At 45.0% G+C, this 25,664-nt stretch overlaps 2 protein-coding genes and 3 pseudogenes across 56 annotated transcripts in view, besides 7 other annotated features; 3 read left to right on the top strand and 2 right to left on the bottom strand.

The window, feature by feature from the left end:
* Positions 1,938 to 12,355, bottom strand: ZNF302 (zinc finger protein 302). Of its 33 annotated transcripts, none has more exons than XM_047439093.1 (6): positions 10,784 to 12,355; positions 9,521 to 9,597; positions 8,375 to 8,506; positions 5,437 to 5,557; positions 5,096 to 5,179; positions 1,938 to 4,082 (listed from the first exon to the last, which is right to left on the bottom strand). In XM_047439093.1, the coding sequence occupies exons 2-6, from the start codon at positions 9,527 to 9,529 to the stop codon at positions 3,097 to 3,099; spliced, it is 1,332 nt and encodes a 443-aa protein (XP_047295049.1). In that variant the 5' UTR covers positions 9,530 to 9,597; positions 10,784 to 12,355; the 3' UTR covers positions 1,938 to 3,096. The 33 variants fall into 33 exon arrangements, 32 of the variants coding, with proteins under 32 accessions (XP_047295049.1, XP_016882467.1, XP_024307375.1 ...); XM_017026978.2 differs by lacking the exon at positions 10,784 to 12,355 and adding an exon at positions 10,231 to 10,656 and having other exon boundaries at positions 5,096 to 5,182; XM_024451607.2 differs by lacking the exon at positions 10,784 to 12,355 and adding an exon at positions 10,231 to 10,656 and having other exon boundaries at positions 1,938 to 4,342.
* Positions 8,531 to 9,032: an enhancer, noted in NCBI's record as "H3K27ac-H3K4me1 hESC enhancer chr19:35170207-35170708 (GRCh37/hg19 assembly coordinates)". NCBI's record gives its function as "activates a minimal SCP1, AML or CMV promoter by ChIP-STARR-seq in naive H9 embryonic stem cells {active_cell/tissue: H9 hESC(naive)}" and the evidence as "EXISTENCE:reporter gene assay evidence [ECO:0000049][PMID:30033119]".
* Positions 9,890 to 10,786: an enhancer, noted in NCBI's record as "NANOG-H3K27ac-H3K4me1 hESC enhancer chr19:35168453-35169349 (GRCh37/hg19 assembly coordinates)". NCBI's record gives its function as "activates a minimal SCP1, AML or CMV promoter by ChIP-STARR-seq in primed H9 embryonic stem cells {active_cell/tissue: H9 hESC(primed)}" and the evidence as "EXISTENCE:reporter gene assay evidence [ECO:0000049][PMID:30033119]".
* Positions 10,408 to 10,467: a silencer, noted in NCBI's record as "silent region_10506". NCBI's record gives its function as "represses an Ori minimal core promoter by ATAC-STARR-seq in GM12878 lymphoblastoid cells {active_cell/tissue: GM12878}" and the evidence as "EXISTENCE:reporter gene assay evidence [ECO:0000049][PMID:35858748]".
* Positions 10,787 to 11,684: an enhancer, noted in NCBI's record as "NANOG-H3K27ac-H3K4me1 hESC enhancer chr19:35167555-35168452 (GRCh37/hg19 assembly coordinates)". NCBI's record gives its function as "activates a minimal SCP1, AML or CMV promoter by ChIP-STARR-seq in primed H9 embryonic stem cells {active_cell/tissue: H9 hESC(primed)}" and the evidence as "EXISTENCE:reporter gene assay evidence [ECO:0000049][PMID:30033119]".
* Positions 10,918 to 10,977: an enhancer, noted in NCBI's record as "active region_14449". NCBI's record gives its function as "activates an Ori minimal core promoter by ATAC-STARR-seq in GM12878 lymphoblastoid cells {active_cell/tissue: GM12878}" and the evidence as "EXISTENCE:reporter gene assay evidence [ECO:0000049][PMID:35858748]".
* Positions 11,028 to 11,127: an enhancer, noted in NCBI's record as "active region_14448". NCBI's record gives its function as "activates an Ori minimal core promoter by ATAC-STARR-seq in GM12878 lymphoblastoid cells {active_cell/tissue: GM12878}" and the evidence as "EXISTENCE:reporter gene assay evidence [ECO:0000049][PMID:35858748]".
* Positions 11,175 to 25,664, top strand: part of ZNF807P (zinc finger protein 807, pseudogene) — a 135,468-nt pseudogene continuing 120,978 nt past the window's right edge. For both annotated transcript variants that reach the window (NR_170975.1, NR_146880.2), the window contains exon 1: positions 11,175 to 12,704. The product of NR_170975.1 is annotated as a zinc finger protein 807, pseudogene, transcript variant 2 (transcript). The remainder of the gene's footprint in view (positions 12,705 to 25,664) is intronic.
* The window catches only part of SCGB1B2P (secretoglobin family 1B member 2, pseudogene), a 100,431-nt pseudogene continuing 85,941 nt past the window's right edge, over positions 11,175 to 25,664 (top strand). For all 14 annotated transcript variants that reach the window (NR_170957.1, NR_170958.1, NR_170959.1 and 11 more), the window contains exon 1: positions 11,175 to 12,704. The product of NR_170957.1 is annotated as a secretoglobin family 1B member 2, pseudogene, transcript variant 2 (transcript). The remainder of the gene's footprint in view (positions 12,705 to 25,664) is intronic.
* The window catches only part of SCGB2B2 (secretoglobin family 2B member 2), a 91,631-nt gene continuing 77,141 nt past the window's right edge, over positions 11,175 to 25,664 (top strand). For 4 of the 7 annotated variants that reach the window (NR_170948.1, NR_170946.1, NR_170947.1 and 1 more), the window contains exon 1: positions 11,175 to 12,704. The gene's annotated coding sequence lies outside the window, so the exon portion shown is untranslated. Of the gene's footprint in view, positions 12,705 to 20,420; positions 20,495 to 20,908; positions 20,983 to 25,664 lie in introns of those variants that run through there. The other 3 variants (NR_170950.1, NR_170951.1, NR_170949.1) reach the window with 2 other exon arrangements.
* Positions 21,236 to 21,455, bottom strand: SCGB1B3P (secretoglobin family 1B member 3, pseudogene; annotated as a pseudogene).
* Positions 23,965 to 24,465: an enhancer, noted in NCBI's record as "H3K4me1 hESC enhancer chr19:35154774-35155274 (GRCh37/hg19 assembly coordinates)". NCBI's record gives its function as "activates a minimal SCP1, AML or CMV promoter by ChIP-STARR-seq in naive H9 embryonic stem cells {active_cell/tissue: H9 hESC(naive)}" and the evidence as "EXISTENCE:reporter gene assay evidence [ECO:0000049][PMID:30033119]".

Raw genomic sequence — 25,664 nt, 5'->3', positions numbered from 1 at the left:
TCAAATGTAGCCTATATTCCTAAGATGTGTGACTCTGAGAGAGACTCACTCAGCTCACTAGCACAAAGATGATTATGGCATTTACCTTACAGTATGTGGGAAGATTATTGAAAGCAGGAAAAACACGGCAACAAACTTCCATGCAGAGGCACTTTGTTGCTTGCTTTATATATCTTTTAATTCTCACAACCACCTGATGAGAAATATTTTTGTTTTGATGGAGACATCGGGAAATGAAGTGACTTCCCCAAGTGTATAGAATAAGCAAGCGACAGTCCCAATAGGCTGAATTCACACCTAGCAATTTGTGTCCAGAGCTGACAGCATTTAATTGTCTGAATGCAGCACACAAAGCAAACACAAGGCGCAGTGGCTGCTGCTATTAACGGTATTGTATTATGATCATTATAGTTTTTCCCTATTTCTTTGATGCCAGAGTGCTTACCCTCAGCACCTCTCGGGCCATACGGGCCACACGGCCTTGTCATTGTCTTGTATCTTCCATTAATTACTTCTGCATATAAAGCTTTTTTCCTCTAACACAATTGCAATTTGTTTAAAAACTGACTCCCCCTCAGCAGCAAAGAATTAAGCTCCCAGGAAGTGCTCAGTGATATGTTCATTGGTTCTTTCTAGATGTTTACCAGCAACTGAGTTCTAATCACATTTGACTGGCCCAAGGCTAACAAGAAAACTCTGACTTTCCAGGCATCGGTGACCTTCAATGACAGGCTGTAACCTCCATTCAGGAAGAGTGAGGGCAGTGGCACCCAGCCCATGGGACTCTGTACTCAGAGATGATGCCAAAGACCTGTAGTCTTCTGGTCTCAGTGGGTAAACCCTCCCCTTTCCTCCATGTGGAAGCCTGATGCCTCCTTCACTCGGCCCATTTTCCAACTCTGTAGGGCATCCTTCTTCCTTCTCAGAGACCTGCTGAATTCTCATCTCATCTCCTATCTGGTCTCTTTGTTTCTCCTTAGGTTATTTTGGGCAAGAAACATTCCCTCAAAATGGCTCAGATACTAAAGGATTTGTTGGAAGGAAACGGGGGTGTTTTGTAAATGCTCTCCCCCAAAAATGTGAAACAGTAAACAGATAAGAGTGGCAAGTGATTAGATGTGACATCTGAGACCAGAATAATGAAGCAACCATGAGAAGACGATGATGATGAAATCAATAGCTATAGCTAATACTTACTGAATGCTATTGAGAGGCCAGGCATTGTTGTAAACATTGTGCATCAATTAACTCATTTAACTTTCATAATAATGCTGTGAAATAGGTTTATTACCATTTTACAGATGGAGAAACTGCAGCATGACCCAGTGAAACAGTTTGTCCAAGGTCACAAAGCCAGTATACATGTAACTTGGATTTAAACCCAGGTAACAAGACTCCAAAGCTTAATGCTCTTCACACACACACATCTCGAAGCTCTTAAGGAGTATGGAGTGTTTCTTAAGTCCACAGAAGATGCTCAAGAAATGGTTAATAGGTAAGATTGAGGAAACAATATGTTGTCAGTGACACCATAACATTATTATTATATTCTGGACAAACAGTGTTAGTGTCCCCTAAGAACGTGTGAAAAATGCAAATTCAAATCAACTCATACAGAAACTCTAGGACTGAGGCTTAGCAATCTGTGCTTTAACACGTCCTTCCAGTGATTTCGACACAGCACTAGAGCTCAGAACTACTAGATTCCTTTATCCCATCCCTGTGTAATACACATGAGTAATGCTCAGTAAATGTTCTTGAAATGTATTTAATTAAGCCTACTGGATATGGACTCAATAATCCTCACCAAAATACTGCTATTCTTAGTATAAAGAGCAGGCCATTCTTCTCGAAGTTTGCTAGTCTCCCGCTAAAGGCTATACTAAGGCTAATCTTAGTGAAATTTTTTTTTGTCGCAAACAGTCACAGAGAAAGAGTTCATGATATACAAAATGATTTTATTAGATGCCAAATTTTTATTAACACCATTTTATTTCTTTTGCAGCTTTAATTTTTAACATTATAACATTTACTGGCTCCTCTGGGTGACTAAATATCTTCACATGCCCACTAGCTAAAAAGAATTTCTAAGTAGAACTCAACTGAAACTGCAAGCTACTGCTCTAAGAAATGCATACTTATGTTTATTTGCTCTCCTATATAATCCTGTTTACAAATAGCATAACTGCAAAGATTTATATGTAATTTCTAAATCCTTCAGGTTGCTCTACCATTCATCTTCTTATGTCTGGCAAGATAAACACTCTTAGTGAACACTTTGCTGCATCTCTTAAATGAGATTTGTCTCCAGTTTATTTCCTATAGAATAAGGGATGCACTTGGAACTGAAAAATTCCTTCAATTTCTAAAGTTTCCACATTCATACAACTTTTCTCCTGTAGGAGTTTGCAGGAGATTCCTATTGCCTATAGTCTTTCCCACATTTGCTACATGTACACAGATTTTTCCTAGTGTGAGTATACTTAGGTCAATTAAGGGATTAATACTGACAAAGGCTTTCCCACATTTATTGACTTCATATGATTTCTCTACAGTATAAACTCTAATAAAAAAATCTGCATCATTGCTAAAAGTCTCCCATGTTCACCACCTTCATACAACTTTTCCCCAGTATACATTTTTCTGATGTTAAATAAGGGAGGATCTATGAATGAAGTTTACCGTGATAAACACTGCTTCTCTTCTGTAAGATTTCTCACATGTATAGGGATTCATATGATCTAAAGGCTTTTCCACACTTACCACACTATTGGGTTTCTCTCCATTATGTACTCTTTGATGGGCAGTAAGATTCGAGCCTTTGCTAAAAGCTTTCCCACACTCACTACATTTATATGGCTTTTCTCCAGTATGAATTCTCTGATGTACAGTAAGGTTTGAACTACAGCTGAAGGTCTTCCCACATTTAATACATTCGTAAGGTTTCTCTCCAGTATGAATACTGTGATGTTGAAGCAGGGACGACCTATGACTAAAGGCTTTCCCACATATACTGCATTCGTAGGGTTTCAATCTAATGTGATTTCTCAAATGCATATTCAGTGATTCAAGCTGGTTGAAGGATTTCCTGCATTTCTAAACTTCAAACGGTTTTTCTTCAGTATGAATACTCTGATGTTGAACAAGAAATGAGAAGCTACTAAAGACCTTGAGACATTTGTTGCATTCATATTTTTTCTTCATACTGTGAATTCTTTGATGTTGAGTAAGGTGTGAGCTACAGCAGAAAGCTTTCCCACATTCTCTACATTCATAAGGCTTCTCTCCAGTATGGCTTTTCTGATGGTGAATGAGAGACGAACTATGAATGAAGGCCTTTCCACATATACGACACTCATAGCGTTTTTCTTGCGTATGAATTCTTAGATGCTGAATGAGAAGGGACACACGACTAAAAGACTTTCCACAGTTCATACATTCATACGGTTTCTCTCCCGTGTGAGTGCTCTGATGGTTAGTAAGTGATGAGCCATGGCTAAAGGCCTTCCCACATTCAATGCATTTGTAAGGTTTCTCTCCACTATGGCTTATCTGATGTCGTGTAAGGGATGAACCATGGCTAAAAGTCTTCCCACATTCACGACATTCATAGGGCTTCTCTCCTGTATGAATTCTCCAGTGGCGACTGAGGATTGACTGTTTGCCAAAGGCTTTCCCACATTCACTGCATGTATAGATTTTCTCTCTATTACAAGTCTGGGGAAGGGTAAGAGATTTGCTCTGGTTGAAGGCTGCCCCACTTTTATTAGAATTTAAAAGTTTCTTTCCACCATTTATTCTCTCACTTTTTATAACTGACTTTTTTGATAAATTCTTCTTTAATATATCATATTTGTGTGAATTCCCTTCAGCAGAATTGTTTTGTGGTTCAGAAAGAGTAGACTTTGAATGAAAGGTGCTTCTAAATGTGTCGCATTCTGTATATTCCAAATTCTTATTAGAATTTGAAAATTCATAACTTTGTTTTACAACTTTTTCCATTGTTACTGGTTGGGGTGAATCTTCATCATAAATATCCTTCTTTGTTGATAATTCCTTGTTTTCCCATCTTGATTCCCAATCTGAAATATATCAAGAAAGCAAAGCACTGCCTTTTTTTTTTTTTTTTTTTTTTTTTTTTTTTTTTTTTTTTTTTTTTTTTACTTCTTGAAAAAAGCTTCTACAGTGGAATTAGGAGAATTGGATAAGAAATGAAGCACCCAGAAAACACATAGTTCTGACAACTCAAATATTTCAGTGACTTCTGAACAATGCTCAAATAGAGCAGAGAATCCAAAGTTCACAGAAGCAGGAACAGAGTGTGATAAAGGAAATGGGTAAGCTGTACGAAATGGATAAAATAGTATGGAAAAAAGGAAAGTATCAGAAATAAGATGTGGAAGGCATTCAGGATTACAAATCATCATTTTGTGCCTATATTCATGTGGGAAAGGTTGCATTTTGTTTCATAGCCTTTTTTTCCAACCTTCCATTAATCTCAATTTGCTGCTGGATTATCAAGCTTAAAATACAGAATTGATACTACTATATTAAACAACTGCAGTAAAAACAAAGTAAATGCTCTTTATAGCTGACAAAGATATAGGCTTTCTGAGGTTATGAAGAAACTGTGTGAATCATATTTTTCTTGAACATTAGAAAATATTATTCCTAGAAACATTTATATGTCCCTTACTTCCTCTAATATGTTCATATTTCATCTACAAAGCTCAGCTTTAGAAAAGTGATTTTCCATCTAACTGACAGCTTTTCTTAGCTTAAAACTATTAGTATATTTTTCTTAAGTAGAATTAAGAAAGAATAAATTGTCTTACTTTGTCATGAATATAGTAACAATTTGAATTATTATGATGGCAAAAACCTCTAACCTTGATTAGGTGACATGAGTGATACAGATAATAATTTGAGAGGGAGGAACAATTGTTTTGAAAATCTAAGCTAAATATCCCTCAATTTTTCATTTCTATCTGAGATCTTTGAAGACAGTATCCCTAAAATGCTTCCACACTCACTATAAACATCTTTAACAAAATCTTCCTTTGTCTCGTTCACCATGACTCATGTGGAATCATACCTTTTGACAGTTTTTTCTCCATCATCCAGGGCTCTTTTCCATCCTCCAATAACATGATCACATATGGCTTAGTTACGGAAAGACCTGCTTACAGGAAAAATATAGAATTGTTTAAGCTGTGGTCCTCTATTATGAGAGGCCATCACAAGAGGGACCACAGGAATGGATGAAGGGTGTTCACTGAAATGGAAAGATAAGCTTTAGGCAGGGCACAACAGAGCTGCACATTTCCTCGGGAGCATGGTACAGAAATTCAGCCATTTACTTAGGAGAATCTCCAGCAATTCAGGGTGGCAAAAGAAAGGTGTCCCCTATTGGAGTGGAAGGGGTGATATCCTTACCTACAGAGACCAGGTTCTCATAATTCTGGACCATCACATCCTTGTATAAGTCCCTCTGAGCAGAATCTAGGCATGCCCACTCTTCATGAGAGAAGTCTATAGCCACATCACTAAATGTCACCTGAAATAGCAAATATATTTAGGCTCAGCCATAGCCCAGGCCTCTTCTGTCACTGAAGAAGGGGTAAAATTAGCCTGCTTGTGGAAGAAATGGAACAAGATTCAGGAGCTGTGACAATGACTGGGAATGTGATGTCAGGTAAGTAATAATAGGACAGTTATGTAGTTGGAATTATACAATAAAGGGGACAGTTATGTGCTTAGAATTTTTATACAATAAGAATGAGAGACAAATATGAGAGCTTTGCTTCAGTAATTTTGTTAAAAGTTTAGAATTATATGAATTTTTAAAAATCAACATTTGACATTTGACAGCACAGAGTCAAGTATTTAGTTATATCTTTTATAGCTTACATGCTAGCTAAGTAATTAAAAATAAGGCTAAAGCAATTGTCTCTCAAATATGATACTCAGAAAGATTCACTAAATCTCACAAAAAATGGGTTCAGAAAAAAAAGACATCTTAATATTAAAGACTGATAGACATATGGTTTGATTATGTTCCCCAAAAAAGCATGTATTGAACTTAATCACCATTCTAATAGTATTGAGAGGTTAGATCTTTAGGAGACTATTGGGCCTTGAGGACTCTGCCCTCATGAATGGATTAATGTCATCATCAGGGAAGAGGGTTCCTTATTTAAAAAAATGAGTTCTGGCCCCCCTTTGCCTCTCTCTCGTCTCTTTGCCCATCCACCACAAAAGGACACAGCAAGAAGGCCCTTGCCAGATGCCTGCCTCTTGATCTTGGACTTCCCAGGCACCAAAACCATGAGAAGTCAATTTTCATTATTTATAAACTACTCAGTCTGGGGTATTTGTTACAGCAGCACAAATGGACTAAAACATACACATAACTGATTCATAAACAAAAAAGAAAAATATATTTGTGGTGTATACTTAAACTTCGTGCTGACAAACATTTAATAATTAAAATATGAGACTCCTGGGTGAAAAGACTGAAGGATGGTTTCATGTCATAGATCAGGGGTCTAACACCTGGGCCACGGACTGGTACTGGTCTGTGGCCTTTAGGAACCGGGCAACACAGCAGGAGGTGAGTGGCAGGAAAGAGCATTATCACCCGAGCTCCACCTGCTGTCAGATCAGCTATAGCATAGATTCTTACAGGAGCGCAATCCCTACTGTGAACTGCACATGCAAGGGATCGAAGTTGCACACTCCTTATGTCAATCTAATGCCTGATGATCTGAGGTAGAACGGTTTCATCCCCAAACCATCACCTCCACCACCTCCCACTTCCGTGGAAAAATTGTCTTCCACGAAACTGATCCCTGGTGTCAAAAAGGTTGAGGACTCCTGCCATAGACAGTCCTTAAATAGGACCTGGAAGGGGAAAAAAATAAGAGTAGATTTCAAAGAAAATATTCTAAGGAAATGCTCACAGATGTGCTTAGAAATTCTTCTCAATAGTACTCATTTCACAGTATTATTTAAAATAGTAAAACTTTAGAAGTTTAAATATTCAATAATAGCTTATTGGCTAGTCAAATTATAATATGTGCAAAAAGTACAGCCATTTAATACAGAGTTATTACTGTCTGTGATTTGTAAAACAGACTGCTCTACTGTGGTAATTTTTTAGCTCTGAGAGTTCATTCAGTATTGTATTACTTTATTTGGATATTTTGCATGCATGTTCACCAGTGACATGGATCTTTGGTTTTAAAGGCAGAATTTACTTTTCTCAGGTTTGGAGAAAATAATTAAAATTCGAATCGCCTTCCAATGGCAGAAAATCCTCTCCACAAATGTAGAAAAAAAAAGAAAGCAGTTTTATTACTGAATAAGCTAAATCAGACCTTGATGCACTTCACAAGCGATCCACTATTGAGATGAAAAGGACAGGAAGAAATCTCATCTTTTTATATAGGCAAGCAGATACAATCCAACACACATTTTCCAAATAAACAATAACTTATCCTCAAGTAAGATTTGACAGTTCAATTTGCTACACAAAATTTCTTCTAAATTCACCTGTTAATTGGAGTTGCCACTGTGTTAATTGCCTATATCCCAAATAAAAATAACATTTCTCATATCTTTGACAAACCAGTCATTACAACTTAGAGCCAGGGATGCTTCTTTCTTCCCCTTCAGTTGCCTGGGCAGCTTGAGATGTTCACTCATCTCAGTTCCCAAAAGAACATAGGATATCTATCCTAGCACTTATTTAAATTTCCCATGCTTTCTTACTTTTCTACCAGTGCCACAATCTTCAATACAGGAGCCACTAGCCAACTTGGCTACAACATTTAAATTAATTAAAATGTAAAAATAAAATAATTAAATAAAATTTAAAATTTATTTTCTCCATTGCTTAAGCCACAGTTCAAGTACTCAATAGTCAGATGGGGCTGTTGGCTACCGTACTGATCAGTACACATGCACAGCACTTCCACCACTGCAGAAAGTTCTCTTAGACAATACTGCACTAGATCATGAAGTCCTGTGTGTCAGTGTACACCAAAATCCATGTACAACTCTTCCTAACAGGTACTTCATAAGTGTTTAGAAGATGAACCAATGAATGGTTTTGGCATTAGTTCACTTTAGCCTTTACTTTGTTTTTTCTTTCAAGAGGCAGGTTCTTGCTCTGTCACCAAGCTGGAGTGCAGTGACATAATCATAGCTCACTACAGGCTTACACCAGAGGGCTCAAGAAATCTTCCTACCTCATCAGCCTCCCGAGTAACTGGGACAACAGGCATGCACTACCACACCAGTTTTTCAATTCTAATTATCTTAATTATTCCATGAAAACAGACTTCACCCAAGATGTACATCTGCTACTTACATCCCCTCCTGTGCAAGCTTCACCTTCCATGCCATGATTCTGCCCCACCAGTTCTTCATTACTCATCTTATTCACTCCACAATTACTTACTAAGCATCCATTTGGTGCCAGGTAACACTCTGGGTACTGACGCTATAACAGTCAACAAAGAAGAAAAAGCATTCCTCCCACCAGGAACAGACAATGAGCACGTGCATATACTGAACATACAGTACATCAGCTAGTGAGTGACACACACTGTGGAAAACAACAAAGCAGTGATGGAGGAGTGGAAGCGCTAGGGAAGGTGACTGCAATTGCAAATAGGCTTTCAGGGAAGCTGTTCTGAGAAAGTAACCACGGAACAAACACAGAAGGAGATAAGGATGCAAGCTTGTGCGTATGTGGGGGAAGAATATTCCACGTGGATGGCACAGCAACTGGTGACAGAGGCTGGAGCGCACAGGAATGAGGAGGCAGAGAAGGAAGGTGGGATCAGGGAGGTAATGGCCTAATTGTACAAATAGGTCATTGCAGAAGTGACTCAGTTAGAACCACTGAAAAATTTTAGGTTGCGGAATGACAGGAATTTATATAACAATAGGACCATGGTCACAGCTGTACTGAGAACAGACTGATGAGGGTTAAGGGCAGATGCTGGGAATCCAGCTAGGAGGCTACCGCAATAATCCAGGTGGCTCGGACTGGGGTGGTAGTGGTGGTGGTGGTGATGGGCTAACTAATGGTCAGATGCTGTATACGGTGTATCGTTTAGATCCAAACTAGAGGACCTGAATATGAGTTATAAGTCAAAAGGAAGAATCAAGGATGACTCCAAACATCTCTTCACTTGAGACCACATGGTACAGTTTTGACAACCATAAACCGAATAACCTTACATTCCAAAGTTGCATTGTGAATTACAGTTTTAAAATGTTGGCAATCTAGAAAGTCTTCTAGCAGAAAACTGTAGAAAAGAGGAACACTGGGTGATGAGGACAATACCTTGGAGCTCTCCTGTGGGCTCCATTCTTCCTATAGTGAAAGGAACCATAGATCTAGTCCCTTAAATGGACTTGATTAGGTGGGAACAGGCAGGAGAAGCAAAGCAAACACACAGAGGCCTAATAAAGTGTTTCAGGAAGATTTGGGGACACACCGACTTACCTGAGACATTATTCTGCAATTTCCAATGGCCAACAGAGTCCCCTTTCCAGGTTCTTATCTTAGAGATGGGCAGTGTCCTGAGGGCACAGAAAGGCAGGAAAAAGCAGTCATGAAAAATCGGGCTTATCTTGCGGCACCTGTCACACACCTTAATGGAAAAGCACACTGGTAATCACTCGCCGGAGCGTCAATCTCTCCCTGGGAAGGAACAGGGTGTTTCTCCGCAAGGGCTATTTACCAGGTGCCACCTGCGGGGAAAATCAATTATTCTGTATACAAAAGACTCATAAAACAACGGTAACAACTTTATCAGCTCGTTCAGTCTTCACCACTTTGCAAGGTGTGCATTCATATTATTCCAGATTTTTTTTTTTTTTTTTTTGAGACGGAGTCTCGTTCTGTCTCCAGGCTGGAGTGCAATGGAGCGACCTCGACTCACTGCAACCTCTGCCTCCCGGGTTGAAGCGATTCTCCTACCTCAACCTCTCGAATAGCTGGGATTATAGACACGTGCCACCACGCCCAGCTAATTTTTTTTTGTATTTTTAGTAGAGACGGCGTTTCGCCATGTTCGTTAGGCTGGTGCGGTGGCTTACGCCTTTAATCCCAGCACTTCGGAAGGCGGAGGCGGGCGGATCGCTTGAGGTCGAGTTCTAAACCAGATTTATTTTTTAAAATGAAGACAAAACTGAAATTCCGAGATACTGAACCCATTTGTTCAAGGTTGCACAACTGAAAGCGCCGGCTTCATGACGACATAACCCAAAAAAAACTGTAGCTGGCGTCTGCTCTCGCGCCCACTTCGCTCTCACAACAGTGCCAAGAGGTCGGCGCCGTCATCACCCCGCGTTTACACGGCTCAACAGGAAGGCCAGGAAATGCCCAAGGCCCCGGCCGTGGTCAAACCGCGCGCGGACCCAGGGCCTTAGCCCCGCCGTCGCCGCGACCCACACTTGCCGGAGTCCTCAGCAGGGCCTCACCGTCCCGCAGGCGCCCCGAGCCCGCGCCTCCGCGGACCTGACGCGCCGCGTAGCTGGTGAGCGGGTAACGGCGGCCGACCTCCGGGAACGACACTGCCCCAAACCGTTCCTTAGCTTGGAAGCCGCCGCCAGGCCTGAAGCTATCGCGGGACTGACCCAGTGCACCGCCCACGGCGAACCACATTTCCCAGAATCCTCCCCCTGCGGTACAAATGTCCCGGAAGCCGCGAACCGCCGGCACCCGAAGACCACACTTCCCAAGGGTCTCTGCGGCTGCGCGGACCTGGTGCGCCGCGGGCAAACCGGTCACGGCTTTGTAAGTAGCTTAACCGCCTGGGGCCGTCGACCTAGAGCCGGCCAGCTAGGACCATGCGCAAATTGTCCTGGGGCACACAGTCGTCCTCTGGTGAACGATACAACTCGAAACCAAGGGACACCCTCTACTTATAAGGGCCATGGCGCCCGGACCAAGAAATTACATTTCCCAGAAAACTGCAGCCGTGCCAAGGTCTTCCGGGTCATTCCTGCGCTCACACAAACGTTTCCCTCCGAGACATGGGCAGCCCTTGCTGGTACCGCGCAAGTGCTCGCCGTTGCTAGCAAAGGGGCTCCTCTCATCCCAAACCCTGCCGCTATGCTGTTCACCTTCAGGTCTTTTTTTTTTTTTTTTTTTGGCACTCATTTGCCCAAGACGATAACTCACAAAACGCCCTGTGGCCCGACTGTCACGACTGTAGTTCGCCAACCAAGGGCATTTCCTGGAAATGCAAGGGGACACGTATCTGTGACACTAATGGCCGTTCTGACGTGCGTTACGCCCCTGGAAGGACTTGGAAATACTGAACTTGAGTGAGCACTGGGAGGATGGAGACCCTCATCCTGGGAGGAGTCACTCCTCCCGCAGCCATCACAGCCTGACGCCCCCTCTCCCCAGAAGTGCTTCTTAGGCCCACCCAAAAGGGCAATGGACCTCTCTGTATGCAAGCCAGAGCAGTCTACTGTTTGTGTATATTTGGGTTGTTTACTTTCTTTTTAACACTTAAATGTTAATTGACTTCAATCATTTTTAAAATTATAAATAGTGTCGCTATAGACTTTTTTGTACTTATTAAGTACTGACCTGCATGATCTTCGTGAAGCAGTGCTTCTGTTACCAGAAAGGGGTCCGGATCCGACCCCAAGAGAGAGTTCTTAGAGCTCACGCAAGAAAAAATCCATGGGAGAGCACAGTGCAAAGCCAAAGCAAGTGTATTAAGAAAGTAAAGAAACAATGGGTACTCCATTGTTAGAGCAGCAGCTTGGGCTGCTGGACTAGGGATACTTGTATTTATTGCTTGATGATGTGCTAAACAAGGGTGGATTATTCATGAGTTTTCCAGGAAAGAGGTGGGCAATTTCAATTTCTCGGAGCTGAGGGCTTCCCAGCTTTTTGAACCATACAGGGTAACTTCTGAACCTTACCATGGCATTTGTAAATTGCCATGGCACTGATGAGCGTTTCTCTTAGCGTGCTAATGCATATAATTAGCATATAACCGAGAGGTGAAGCCAGCTGGGCTTCTGGATCAGGTGGGGCCTTGGAGAACTTTTCTGTATAGCTGAAGGATTGTAAATACACCAATCAGTGCTCTGTGTCTAGCTAAAGGTTTGTAAATGCACCAGTCAGCACTCTGTAAAAACGGACCAAACAGCACTCTGTAAAATAGACCAATCAGCGCTCTGTAAAATGGACAAATCAGCAGGATGTGGGCGGGGCCAAATAAGGGAATAAAAACGGGCCACCCGAACAACCAGCGGCAACCGCGCTGGGGTCTACTTCCCAGGTGTGGGATGTTTGTTCTTTTGCTCTTTGGGTCTGCACTACCTTTATGAGCTGCAACACTCACCCTGAAGGTCTGCAGCTTCACTCTTGAAGCCAGCGAGACCACAAACCCACTGGGAGGAACGAACAACTCCAGACACGCCGTCTTTAGGAGCTGTAACACTCACTGTGAAGGTCTGCAGCTTCACTCCTGAAGCCAGCGAAATCATGAACCCACCGGGAGGAACAAACAACTCCAGCACGACTCCAGACGCACCGCCTTTATGAGCTGTAACACACACCGCGAGGGTCTGCAGCTTCACTCCTGAAGCCAGCCAGACCAGGAACCCACCAGAAGGAACCAATTCCGGACACATAACAAGCAGCAGTGAGGACACCAAAGGTCAGTCTCCTCGCCATCTTGATTTTGGTGGGTTTTGGCTGGCTTCTTTACTGCAATTTGTTTAACCAGCAAGGCCTTTATGACCTGACCTGTAGCTTGTGCCGACTTCCAATGTTATCCTGTGACTTAGAATGCCTTAAGTGTCTGGGAAGTAGGTCTCAGCCTCATTTTACCCAGGCCCTATTCAAGATGGAGTCGCTCTGGTTTAAACACCTCTGACAGTTCTACCTTGGTGTATCCTGTGGGTGTGGTTGTGAATTCCTATAGCAGCCACAGTTTTAAAAAACACTGGCATCAGCTGGCTTCCTCTCAAGGCTTAGAGTATGTAATAAGGAAAGACTGGATTGTGCAAAGCATGTTTCCATCTATGATTTTACTATACAATCATGAATTGTTTTCCAAAGTTGTACCAATTTTCACTCCTACCAGAGTTTATGGTTATTTTGCTTGCCAACTCTTACTGCCAACACTCTCTTTGTGAAACTTTAAAAGTTTAATAATCTACTAGGTGTGAAATAGTAACTCACTGTGGCTTAAAGTTGCATTTTTTAATTGTTAATGAGATTGAGAATCTTTTTGAATGTCTATTGGTCTTAGTATTCCCTTCTCTGAGAATTGCAGGTCTTTTGGTCAAGTTCTTTTGGAATGATGACCTTTTTAATATTAAAATGCAAGAGACATAGGAAAAAATGAGGTTTAAGGAGATAGTGAGATAGTGCAGTGACTAGGTTATTAAGATCGTTTCCCACTTAGAATCCTGGGCTTTCAACTGAAATAGTAACTGAATGTGTTTTCTGGAGTTTGGCATAATGTTTCTGGTTATGAAATTCTTAAATTCTTTCCTGCTTGGGATTTGCTGAACAACTTGAATCTGTGATGTGTCATCTCTGGTAATCAGCAAACTCTTCCTCTCCCATATATTGCCTCTTCACCATTGTTTCTCTGCTTTGAGAACCCCAATTCGTTATGAGGCAGGTGTTACCCCTCTATCCTCCAGGTGTCTTAAATTCTCTGTGATTTTCATCCTTCAATCTCTGTGTTGCATTCTGGATAATTTATTCCGATCTATTGCCCATTCATAATTATCTCTCCAGGACATTTTAATTTCAATTTTCCAAACTTTTTTAACATGGTAGGTATAGTTGCTTCATAATATGTATCTGATAATAACAATAACTGAAGATTTTGTGGGCCCGTTTGGATGTTTATTTCCAAATTCTTCAATCAGTTTGCTTTGCTTCCTTTTTTGTTGGTTATCTTTGTCCTTGAAAAGAGATTTCATGTAGCTTTCCCATATCCTTAGATGAAAGTGCCTTTCTCTTCTAGAGATTATATAATTTCCTTTCAGACAAGACCAGGATCCCTGCCACTTTGGAACCACTTTAAACCACACTTAAGACATAAAGTCCCTGCTCAGTCCATCCAGAAAAGCTTACATAGGGATTTTTCATTGTTTCTGCTTTTCCTCATGATCTCACTGGAAGAATTATGGTGGTTTCCCATTATGAGTCCTCAGATATTTGGAATATGAGTTAAGTTCATGAGTGGAGAGAGGGCCAACATTAAAGGACTAGATGTGACTCAGGGCATAGGTGAGAAGAACTTTAAATGGAGGGCTAGTCCTTTTGTTTCAATAGCTATGTCTGGCCATCTCATAAAAAGCATTCCTGTGAAGTTAAACCCCTAACTTGTGAATGCCCCATCGTTAGGGAAGCAGGAGTATAAGAGAGCCAGAGGATGCCATTTTAAGTATAGTTCCATTTTGAGACTAGCAAAGCACATTCCTTGTCGGTCATGGCCCATAGTCATGGGGTGTTTATAGTTGAGGAAACAGCCTAAAGATACCTACAGGGACACTCCTACAACAGTGCAGAGTCCAGATGTCCCAATACCCGTAACAATATATGCTTTGAAGATAATAGCTATGTTTTGATGTACTTACACACTGGAATGTCCAGGTTAGTTTAAATGAATACTGTAATAATTTTTTTTATTCTGCCTGCTCACCCACACATAGACCCAGCTTAGCTTAGTTTTTTCATAGATAAGACCCCTATATAAGAAAAACTTAAAGCCAGTGCATTCCTCCTCTTGTTTTCTGAGGGCCTCCTGCTCACTAATGGTGTAGCTTCTAATAAACTTGCATCTTTCACTGCACTCTGCGACACATCTTAAATTCCTTCCTGAACAAGATCCAAGAACCCTCTTGGGGTCTGGATCGAGACCCCTTTTCCAGTGACACCCTGACTTGCATTGTTAGCAGAAAGGTTAGAGGCACTGGAATAGAGACTGAGGAACAGAAATCAGGGGTGTGAGGTAGAGAGAATCATAGGCATAAGCAAGTCTGATTTAAACAAATATGCCAGACACTTGAGAAAGAAAATGAAGCAGAGAGAGAGAGCAATAAGGAGAAACTAAAACACATTACATGCAATACTCAACCCACTCCCTTCCACTAGCTCTTAGCTGCCTTCTGTCCCTTTCCTATTTAAAATAATGCAGTGTTTACAATCAGTAATTTTTGCTGTTGGGATTTATCTGGTCAAGGGCACATTTTAGAATATGAACTTTGGAGAAGAAAAGCCAGTTTACTCTGATGCAGAAGCTGTTTAAGATTCAGGGTGTGCTATGATGTGAATGTCTGTCCCCCGCCCCCGCCACAGAATTCATATGCTGAAACCGAATCCCCAGTGTGACAATATTAAGAGGTGAGGCCTTTGAGGAAATGTTAAGTTATGAGGCTGGAGTTCTTATGAATGGATTGATGTCCTTATAAAAGAGGCCCAAGCTTGTTTGCTCCTTTTGCCATGTGAGGTTATGGAAGAAGGTGTCGTGTATGAAGGGAGACAAAGTTTCAGGTTTGTGTTTTGGTGGAAGTTTAGGTTCAAATGAGTCCCATATTGATGATTAGGTTTCAACATAGGAATTTTGGGGGGATACAAATATTCAGACCACAGCAAAAGCCATTGGTAGACACATCGGCCCTTGGGACTATGAGGAATTTTAGATTTTAATGAGCTCATTATAAATCCCACTAATTTATCTTGACCAAGGGATAAAGATGGATACCCAGGAATCTCCACAGATAAGACTAGAGCTACACTAGGCCACTATCTTATTACACGACAGCACAACATACAAAATAAATTGTAGATGCTGCTAAATTTGTAGATTAAATGCCTGTATCAAGAAAGAACTATCTCAAATCAATGACAGATTCAACCTTAAAAACTTGAAAAAAGACAATTGAAACTCAAAACAAGAAGGAAATAGTAAAGATCAGAGAGAAATTAATGATGTGGAAAACAGAATAGCAATAGAGAAAAACGAGTAAAACCAATACAGATTTTTTGAGATCAATAAAAGGGATATAACTCTGTGGATCTAGCAAAAAAAAAAAATGTGAGAAAAAACAAATTACCGATAAGTTACAGATGAGATGACATCACTAGATACTACATAGTTTATTTATTTATTTATTCATTTATTCATTTAATTATTTATTTTTACACCCCACCTGGAGTGCATTGGCCCCATCATGGCTCACTGAAGTCTTGAACTCCTGGGCTCAAGCAGTTCACTCGCTTCAGCCTCCAAGGTAGTTTGGAATATGGGAGTGCACCACCACAACCAGCTTTTACAGATTCTAAAACAGTAATAAGGAATTTTATGAATAATCTTCCAATACATTTCACAGTTGCCAGTTTGAAAATAAACACATAAAATTGAACAAATAAGTTAGACAACATAAATATTAATGGAGAAAATCCCATAGAATCTGTGAAAAAAATCTGGAATAAATGAATTTATAAAATTTACAGGGTAAATAATAATTTTTTAAAAAAATTATACTTCTGTATACAATGATCAATTTGAAACTGAAATTTAAAAGCACTTTTTACAAGAGCATACAACATATACTTGAGACACATAAGATGTGCAAGATATGTACATTGAAAACTACAAAAGATTGCTGAGGAAAATTAAAGATCTAAATAAAAGGAGAGATACACAATGTTTATGGATTAGAACACTCAATATTGTTAATGTGCTAATTCTTCTCAAATTGATAAACATATATTCAATGCAATCCAATCAAAATCCCACGATGCTTTTATTAGAAAATAACAAGTGAATTCTAAAATTGATATGAAAATACAAAGCACTTAGAATAGCAAAAAAAAAAGAAAAAGATGCATAAAGTTAAACGATTACATTGCCTGATTTAAAGACATATTATAAAGTTAATTAAGACTTTAAAATGTTAGCAAAAATATAGATTAAGAAAGTCCAGAAATAGACCAACACTTAGAAGATCAAATGATGTTTTAGAAAGGTGCAAAGGCAATTCACTGAAGATCGTGTTTTCAACAAGTGTTGTTGGAACAACTGGACATCCATATTAAAACAAAAACCAGGCCAGCTGCAGTAGCTCAGCCCTTAATCCCAGCACTTTGGGAGGCCAAGGTGGGTGTATCATGAGGTCAGGAGTTCAAGACCAGCCTGGCCAAAATGTTAAAACCCCATCTCTACTAAAAATACAAAACTTAGCCAGGGGTGGTGCCTGTAATCCCAGCTACTTGGGAGGCTGAGGCAGAGAACTGCTTGAACCCGGGAGGCGGAGGTTGAAGTGAGCCAAGATTGCACCACTGCACTCCAGCCTGGGTGACAGAGAAAGACTCCATCTCAAAACAAACAAACCAGCCACAAAGTTCTGATCCCAAACCTCACACGGTATACAATATTCAAGAACTAACTCAGCATGGATTATAAACCTGAATATATGAAACCTTCATTAAGTAACATGAGAGAATTTTTAAAATCTTGGCAAATACTTCTGAAATATACACCAAAAACATGTTCAATCAAAGAAAAAAATAACACATTCAACTTTGTCAACAGTAAACATTTCTGCTATGCGACATGCTCTTTTAAGATGAAGGAAGAAAAGAGCCATAGGCTAGAAGACTATACTGGCAAACCACATATCTGAAGAAGGACTTGTATTCATTATTTATTAAGAACTCTCAAAACTCAATAATAAAGAAAAAAGTTTAAATGGGCAAAAGATTTGAATAGACACCTAACCAAAGAAGATAGAGGGATGGCAGTAGTACACATAAAAATTGTAAACATTAGTTATTAGGGAGATACAAAGTAAAATCGCAGAGAAATACCACTGCACACCAAACGGGAATAGTGAAAATTAAAGACTGACCATACCAAGTGTTGGTGAGGATATGGAGTACCTGAAATCCTCATAACACTGTGGTAAGAATGTAGTAGTATAACCACTTTGGAACACAGTTAGTCAGTTTGTGAAAAGGTAAACATCCACTTACTCTGCGACTTGGTGTAATTATGCTTTTTATTTTCTGTATTTTATGATGACATCTTTTAAAGTTTGCTGGCTCTGGAGACTGTCCTCCCAGGATTAGTCTTTTCTTAGAGATGGCAAAACGCTCGACCTGGAGCACCTGTCTCATATACAACCAACTGGCACTGAATCTATAGCCCCGATTACCTCTTTATCCAACTCTCACACCCCACGCCAATATCTCCCCTGCACTGAAGCACCCCATGACCAGGTACCAGGTAACCAGAGACCAACACTATAGGCCAAAGCCTGCCGGGATTATTCAAACTAGCTAATCATAAGCTGTTTACTCTGCCCTGCCTGGCTTTTCCCATGGGAACCCCAATAAAGGCTGTGGCCTATGGGTTCCCCTTGCTCCTGCCTCCTGACCAGCACTGGTGCTCTCCATGTGGCCCTGTGTGGCATGGTGTGCCCCGGGAAATGTAAATAATAATGTTTTCCATCGCATTGGCCTCTCTGTGTGGTCACTCAGTCACTGCCATAAATTAGAATCCCACAGGTGGAAATGAGACACACCTCTTCGTGTGTGTGTGTGTGTAAGTGGGGGCAGGGCAGGTCTGCAGAGAGACCCACGGCCCTGGGCCATGCCTTTGGGGTGACAGTGTATCAGGAACTAAGCTCAGCATGCAGTGGGATGGGTTGGGTGTTGCTGTGACATCCTGTGTCCTCCCTGGAGCACCGTGGGATTGGGAGCAGGCTGAGCACTATGGTGCCAGCCTGCAGGTCCATGTGTGCATGTGCACCCAGGAGGCCCTGAGGCATAACGGTGTGTCTTGGCAAACATGTGTCTGCACTTGGCACGCCCTAGCACAGAATCTGCCACCGAGTGCCGGTTCAACAAACATTTGATAAATGAGTTTGTTTGTCTGAATGGGTAGCAGATTAGGTGCAGCTTTCGTGAAAATTAGTAAATTGTAATTTAGATTCAAGGAACATTACCTGGAATAAAACACAGAACCTAAAGGAAGTGAGATATAGAAAGTGCATTAGGAACACATGTTACACAGTGAAGAGATGCTACTGTGTCTGGAATTGGTGGGTTCTTGGTCTCACTGACTTCAAGAATGAAGTCGCGGACCCTCGCAGTGAGTGTTACAGTTCTTAAGGCGGCGCGTCTGGAGTTGTTAGTTCCTCCTGGTGGGTTCGTGGTCTCGCTGGCTTCAGGAGTGAAGCTGCAGACTTTCATGGTGAGTGTTACAGCTCATAAAGGCAGTGTGGACCCAAAGAGTGAGCAGTAGCAAGATTTATTGTAAAGAGCAAAAGAACAAAGCTTCCACAGTGTGGAAGGGGACCCCAGCTGGTTGCCACTGCTGGCTGGGGCAGCCTGCTTTTACTCTCTTATCTGGCCCCACCCACATCCTGGTGATTGGTCCATTTTACAGAGAGCCGAGCCGTCTGTTTCCACAGGGTGCTGATTGGTGCGTTTACAATCCCTGAGCTAGACACAAAGGTTCTCCACGTCCCCACTAGATTAGCTAGATACAGAGTGTGGACACAAAGGTTCTCCAAGTCCCCACCAGAGTAGCTAGATACAGAGTGTCGATTGGTGCATTCACAAACCCTGAGCTAGACACAGGGTGCTGACTGGTGTATTTACAATCCGTTAGCTAGACATAAAGGTTCTCCAAGTCCCCACCAGACTCAGGAGCCCAGGTGGCTTCACCCAGTGGATCCCGCACCGGGGCCACAGGTGGAGCTGCCTGCCAGTCCCGCGCCGTGCACCAGCACTCCTCAGCCCTTGGGTGGTCGATGGGACTGGGCGCTATGGAGCAGGGGGCGGCGCTCGTCTCGGAGGCTGCACAGGAGCCCACAGAGGAGGGGGAGAGGCTCAGGCCTGGCAGGCTGCAGGTACCGAGCCCTGCCCCGCCGGAAGGCAGCTAAGGCCCGGCGAGAAATTGAGCACAGCAGTTGCTGGCCCAGGTGCTAAGCCCCTCACTGCCCGGGCAGGCAGGGCCGGCCGGCAGCTCGGAGTGCGGGGCCCGCCAAGCCCACGCCCACCGGGAACTCCAGCTGGCTCGCAAGCGCCACGCTCAGCCCCGGTTCCCGCTCGCGCCTCTCCCTCCAGACCTCCCTGCAAGCTGAGGGAGCCGGCTCCCGCCTTGGCCAGCCCAGAAAGGGGCTCCCACAGTGCAGCGCTGGGCTGAAGGGCCCCTTAAGTGCCGCCAAAGTGGGAGCCCAGGCAGAGGAGGCGCCGAGAGAGAGCGAGGGCTGCGAGGGCCGCCAGCATGCTGTCACCTCTCACTACATATGTGGGTGTTGAAGCCACTTGCCTGTGACTTCTGTCACCTGACTGGACCCTGATTGGTAAGGGTGACCAGGGGCAAAATCAGCAGAGGGGCGCAGCTGGGGGAGCTTGCTGGCCTGGCCACTCACCGAGCTGTGAGCAGCAGGGGAAGCTCCACCCAGGGCCCTAGTGAGTATGGGTGTGGGGGGAGGGGCACGTGGGTGGCCCGGGTCAGTGTCAGGGTGGGCTCCCCCCATCCCACCTTCCCGTTACAGGAGGAGGGTCTCCAGGTTCTTGCTGTTTTGAACAAAGAATTGGGGAAAACGCACAAACAAAGCAAAGAAAGAATTAAGCAACAAAAGCAGAGACTTAACTGAAAGTGAAAGTACACTCCAAACCGGGAGCAGGCCCAAGCATAAGGGCTCAAGAGCCCATTTAGAATTTCCTGGGGTCTAAATACCCTCTAGAGGCTTCCCATTGGTTACTTGGTGTACACCCTATGTAAATAAAGTAGTGGCCCGCAATCAGCCCCAATTAGCACAGCAGGAGTGGGAGGAGGGGCAGCAGCAGGGCAGGAGCTGGGGAGGGTGGGGCCCCGGGCCCAGGTTCTCCTGGGCCGGACAGGCTGCCTGGGCAGAGATTCGAGGTGCCTGTGGATGGTGTCACTTCAGTACCGTGTAGGCACCCTGGTTGTTGATTTCTTCCTGTGGGGAGGGGTGGGAGGCTGAAGGGAGGGGTCTTCTGGGAAGGAGGGATAGGATGGGGTTGACAGCAGAGGTTGAGTATCAGAGGGCGGAGACCCAGCGCCCTGAGGTCTTTTCCCTGGGCAGCTGCCCGTCTGCAGGGACATTGCTTGGTGAGAGGTGGGGAAGTGTTTGGGTGGAGAGAGAGGCTCTCAGGGAACAGAGTCCCTGATCTCAAAGGAGGTCAAGGGCTGTGAGGAGGCGCTGGTGGCCGGGCCTGCTGCATGACGGCCTGTCCCTCCTCGGGGGTCGTGGTGTTGGTCACCATGTCCTTGAGTTTGGAGGGTGTGTTTCTTTCCAGCTCCGTGGGATGATATCTGTTGACAGAATCCATGTAGGTGTCCTTGTCCTCGGTCAGAAACTGGTTCATGACGGTCACGAGCTGCGGGCATAGTTTCTTGGGATCTGCAGGGAGAGTAGGAGCACGTGAGCAGGGAGGGGTGGGTACCCCAGGGCTGCAGCGCAGCCCAGGGTCTCCTGGCAGGGCCTACCCACGAGCAACAGCAGCAGCAGGAGGCCCAGCAACGCCAGGGCTCAGGTGGGCGCCATGCAGTGCGGGGTCAGGGCCGACTAGGGTGTGGGTTACACTTGGGGTGGTGCGGAATCCTCTCCCTCTGGCATTTGGGGAGATGGGGTCTTTAAACTCAGGGTCCTGGGGGCAGGCCCGGTGGGCGTGGCTTGGCTGGGACCTGGAGAGTCGGGGAGAGGTGGAGTTTCTGGTGGCCCAGTGGGCGCAGCAGGTGGCATCTGCCAGGTACCCGCCCCCTTCCTGTCCGGTGGTGCAGGATCTAGGTGGCTGTGCACTGCAGGCATCCATGTGCACTGGGACCCGCAGGTGGCCCAGTGGCCTGTCACATTGTATGTGGGGCGAGAGGCTTGGGTGCACATGTGTGAGAATGGGATTGTGTGTGTGTGAGTAGAATGCGCTGTCGGGAGTGTGTGGGGTGTTTGGTACCTGAGGTTGGGGTGTGTGACTGTGTGGGACAAGCGTCTGTGATTATCTGAATATGCGGGTGTGATTGTGGCTGGGACCGGCCTTGTGGCTGCCTCTGCCCTCCTTGTCTGAGAGAGACAGGGAGACATTGAGAAAGCCTGGTGTGGGGACCCTGTGGGACAGGGACAGGGGACCCCTCTGCACTTTGTACAATCTGGGGACCCTCCCCAAGGGGAAAAGCCAGCTACAGTGGAAAAGCACTGGCTGAGTGGGCTTCGTCCTGGGGAGAGAGGCTGGGAGACTGCAGCTGAAAGGTGTGGGCTCCAGGAGGGCCGCAGGGGGCTGAGCATCAGGGTCAGGGAACAGAGGACCTGGGAGCAGAGGGCCGCCCTCCCTCCATCTTCCTTCCTTCTCTGGACCCCAGAGCACTGTGTCCCCTTCCCACTTGCACAGCTACAGGTGGAGCCAGCTGGGGGGCTTTCTAGAGGGAGTGGGGTCCTCTGAGGGCCAAGAGGGCCAGGTCCCTGAGGACCTGAGGCCCCTCTGGGCCTCCCAGGGCTGGGCCTGTGGCTCTGACCTGCTTTGTCCTGGGAGGGACATGCTCAGTGGTGGGGTTTGTGTAGCTGTCACTCACTCACCTGCCTGTGCCCAGCCACTCACCTCTCACTCCCATCAGCCCCACCCAATACACACGTGGGCCCTCAACTGCCATGAGGGGTAGTTCCTGCCTGTGTCACACACATCCATCCCACCCACCACACTGCAGGTTACAGGACTGCCCCACAAGTGCCACCATGCCCGCATGAGGTCACCTGCATGACATGACCAGATCGTGCACTTTCTGTGCCAGGGCCAGGGCAAGCTTGCACTTTCAGCCTTGGGGACATGGGGGATGGTGGTGGCTGGTGGCCAGGGAGTCACCAGGCTGGAGACATCATCTACCTCCAGGAGAGGGTTGATATCAGACATCTCCCGTGCACCACTTTGAGCCACCTCAGCCTCACTTGGGACTCTGGCTGGCACTGGGACCAGCAGTTCCATGAAGGTTTAGACCATCTCTAGGCTTAGGAAGGGCCTCCCTTGTCATCACTGTGGTCCAGGCTGCACGCCTTGTGACCAAGGGCTCTGGACAACAGATGCAGCCAGCCAGAGTGTGTGGGTGAGGGGCCTGGGCACAGGAGGGACGCAAGGCCTGCACTCTCATGGCCACCATTTCAGAGGGAGGACAGCAATTGTTTGGGTTTGTCCTGTGAGCGGTGGCAGAGAGCAGGGCCCAGGGCAGGTCCAGGGTCAGAAAGGCATCCCGTGCTGCAGCCTTGGGGCCACCAGGTACATGATGGGGCCGGTGTGGGGGCGTCCCCTGTGCCAAACACCTGGGCAGGAGGTGCCCTGGGGTCAGTGGATGGGTCAGGGCATTTGCAGGATTTCTGGTTTCTGTTAGAAATGCATGTCCTGGAGGATGAAGAAAGAGGGGAGGGGGTGGTTGGGAGGGAGATACAGCTCCCGCTGCTTCCTGGCCTCTAAGTGGGGGTGATGGGTGGGTGAGTGGCAGAGGGGTCAGCGGGAGCTGCAAGGCTGAGCCAGGGAAAGGGAGGCAGCAGGGATGCAGGCCTTGCCTGAGGCTGACTCAGGGCTAGGGCTTCTCAGTGGCCGGGGCCCTAGAGCTTCCGGACAAGGAGTTTGCTGGAACAGTGACACAGCACACAACACAGCACAACTGGACACAACACAACCTGGCACAGCAGAGCACCATGCAGTGCACTGGGCTGCAGTAGAGCGTGGAGTGGGGTCTGTGGGACCCAGGGAGTCATGGAGCAAACTGACCTGAGCCACGTCCCTCAGCCAAGGCACAGGCACCTGGCCTTGAGCCACCTACTTGCTTGTGACACCCTCATGCCCTGGTGTCCCTGGGCAGGGCTGGGGCTGCTGTCCAAGGTGAGGTCTGACTAATCCCCTGCCTCTAACCCCCAGTTTTGGGAACTTGAGCATCTTCTAAGGGACCCAGTGGTGCTGTTGGGATTTCTGGGCACCTGGCCACACTGGCTCCCACTGTAGTCTGGCCTTGGGGCCTGCATGGCCTCTGCTTATTGAGCCCTGTCGTTCTCTGCCAGGGACCGTTGGCCCTGTGGCCAGGCTGGCTCCTGGAGAATGGCCTGTCCCCAAAGCCTCCCAGCTCAACTGCTTTGCTTTTCTCCCGCACTGGGAGGTGGGAGCCAGGTTGACACTAGGGGAGGAGCTCCCTCAACTGTGGGTTCACCTTAGGGTTGTGGGCAGGGTTTTGGGAGATGAGACTTTCTGGATAGGGGCTGGAGGTCAACAGCGTGCTGAGTGGGGAGTAGTCCCTTAGCAGAGGTGTCCCATGGGGGAGGGGTGGGGTGGGCGGGGAGGACAACCCGGCTGTGGAGGAGCTGGGGCAGGCAGGTTACACGGGTGCAGCTCACACTCCCTCCTTCTCCCCATTGTCTCTTCCCCCCAGTCCTCTCCTGTCTCTTCCTCCCTGCCCTGTTCTTTCTCTCTTTCCCCTCTGCATCTCCATCTTCTTGTCTCTTTTTCTTTATTCATTTATCCTCCCCTTCACTTTCCCTTTCTCCCTTTCCCTCCTCCCATGGCCTCTCATCTTTCTATTGTGACATATGACACAAATACAGACTAGGACACACCATATAAACTGTATCTTAAGTGATGTCTGTGATGCAAACCTCACAATACCCCTGCAGTTGAAGAAAGGTCATGGTGAGCTCCTCCCGGCACCAGCCTCACTGCCTAGAGTTGACCCCTGTCCTGACTTTGTGGTTTTCTGTTATTTTAGTGGATGGTTTTGCTACCTGAACATCTGCACATACAGTAAACATTAATTTTGGCTTTTTATAATTTTTATGGCCGTAGTCATCGTGTGTGTTCTCCTGTATCTTACTTTTTTGTTCAACATTGCTGTTGCTATCAATCCACATTGCTGTCTTTATGGTTTAAAAAATCTGCCATTGTGTACTGATTCTATTATCATGAACAACACTATAGGGAGCTTTTATGTGTGGATGTCCTGGCACACATTTACATTCACATTTGTTAGGGTTTGTGCCCATGTGTGGAATTTTAGGTGATAAGATATTCATATTCTTGACTGTTCTAGGAAACAGGAAACCTTTGAAGCAGTTGTACAATGCACACCCCCAGCCACACTGTAGTATTTCCTACTGCTCTAGATCGCCACAAGGTGGCATTGTCAGTGTCGTGTGAACCATCTGGTAGGCAGGTGTCAGGGGCGTCGGCATCTCATTGGGTTTCCATTTGCATTTTGTGGTGTAATGAGGTTGAGGCCTCTTCATATGTTTATCAGTCATTTAGTGAAATGTGAGTAGAAGGCTTTTTCCGCACTTTTATTGTTTTTTTTTGTTTGTTTGTTTGTTTGTTTGTTTTTTTGGAGACAGGGTCTCTCTCAGCCGCCCAGGCTAAAGTACAGTGGCATGATCTCGGTTCACTGCAGCCTCAACCTCCTGAGCTCAAGCGATCCTCCTGTTTCAGCCTCCTGAGTAGCTGGAACTACAGGCACATACCACTGTGCCTGGCTAATTTTTGTATTTTCAGTAGAGACGGATTTCACCATGTTGCCCAGGCTGGTCTTGAACTCCTGTGCCTTGGCCTCCCAATGTGCTAAAGGAGTTCTTTATATTTTCTTGATAAG

The sequence above is a fragment of the Homo sapiens genome, chromosome 19 (genome assembly GCF_000001405.40).
Source record: "Homo sapiens chromosome 19, GRCh38.p14 Primary Assembly".
In the NCBI taxonomy this organism is placed as follows: Eukaryota; Metazoa; Chordata; class Mammalia; order Primates; family Hominidae; genus Homo; species Homo sapiens.
The sequence above is the reverse complement of the archived record's forward strand: the minus strand, read 5'-3'. Positions and strand labels throughout refer to the sequence as shown.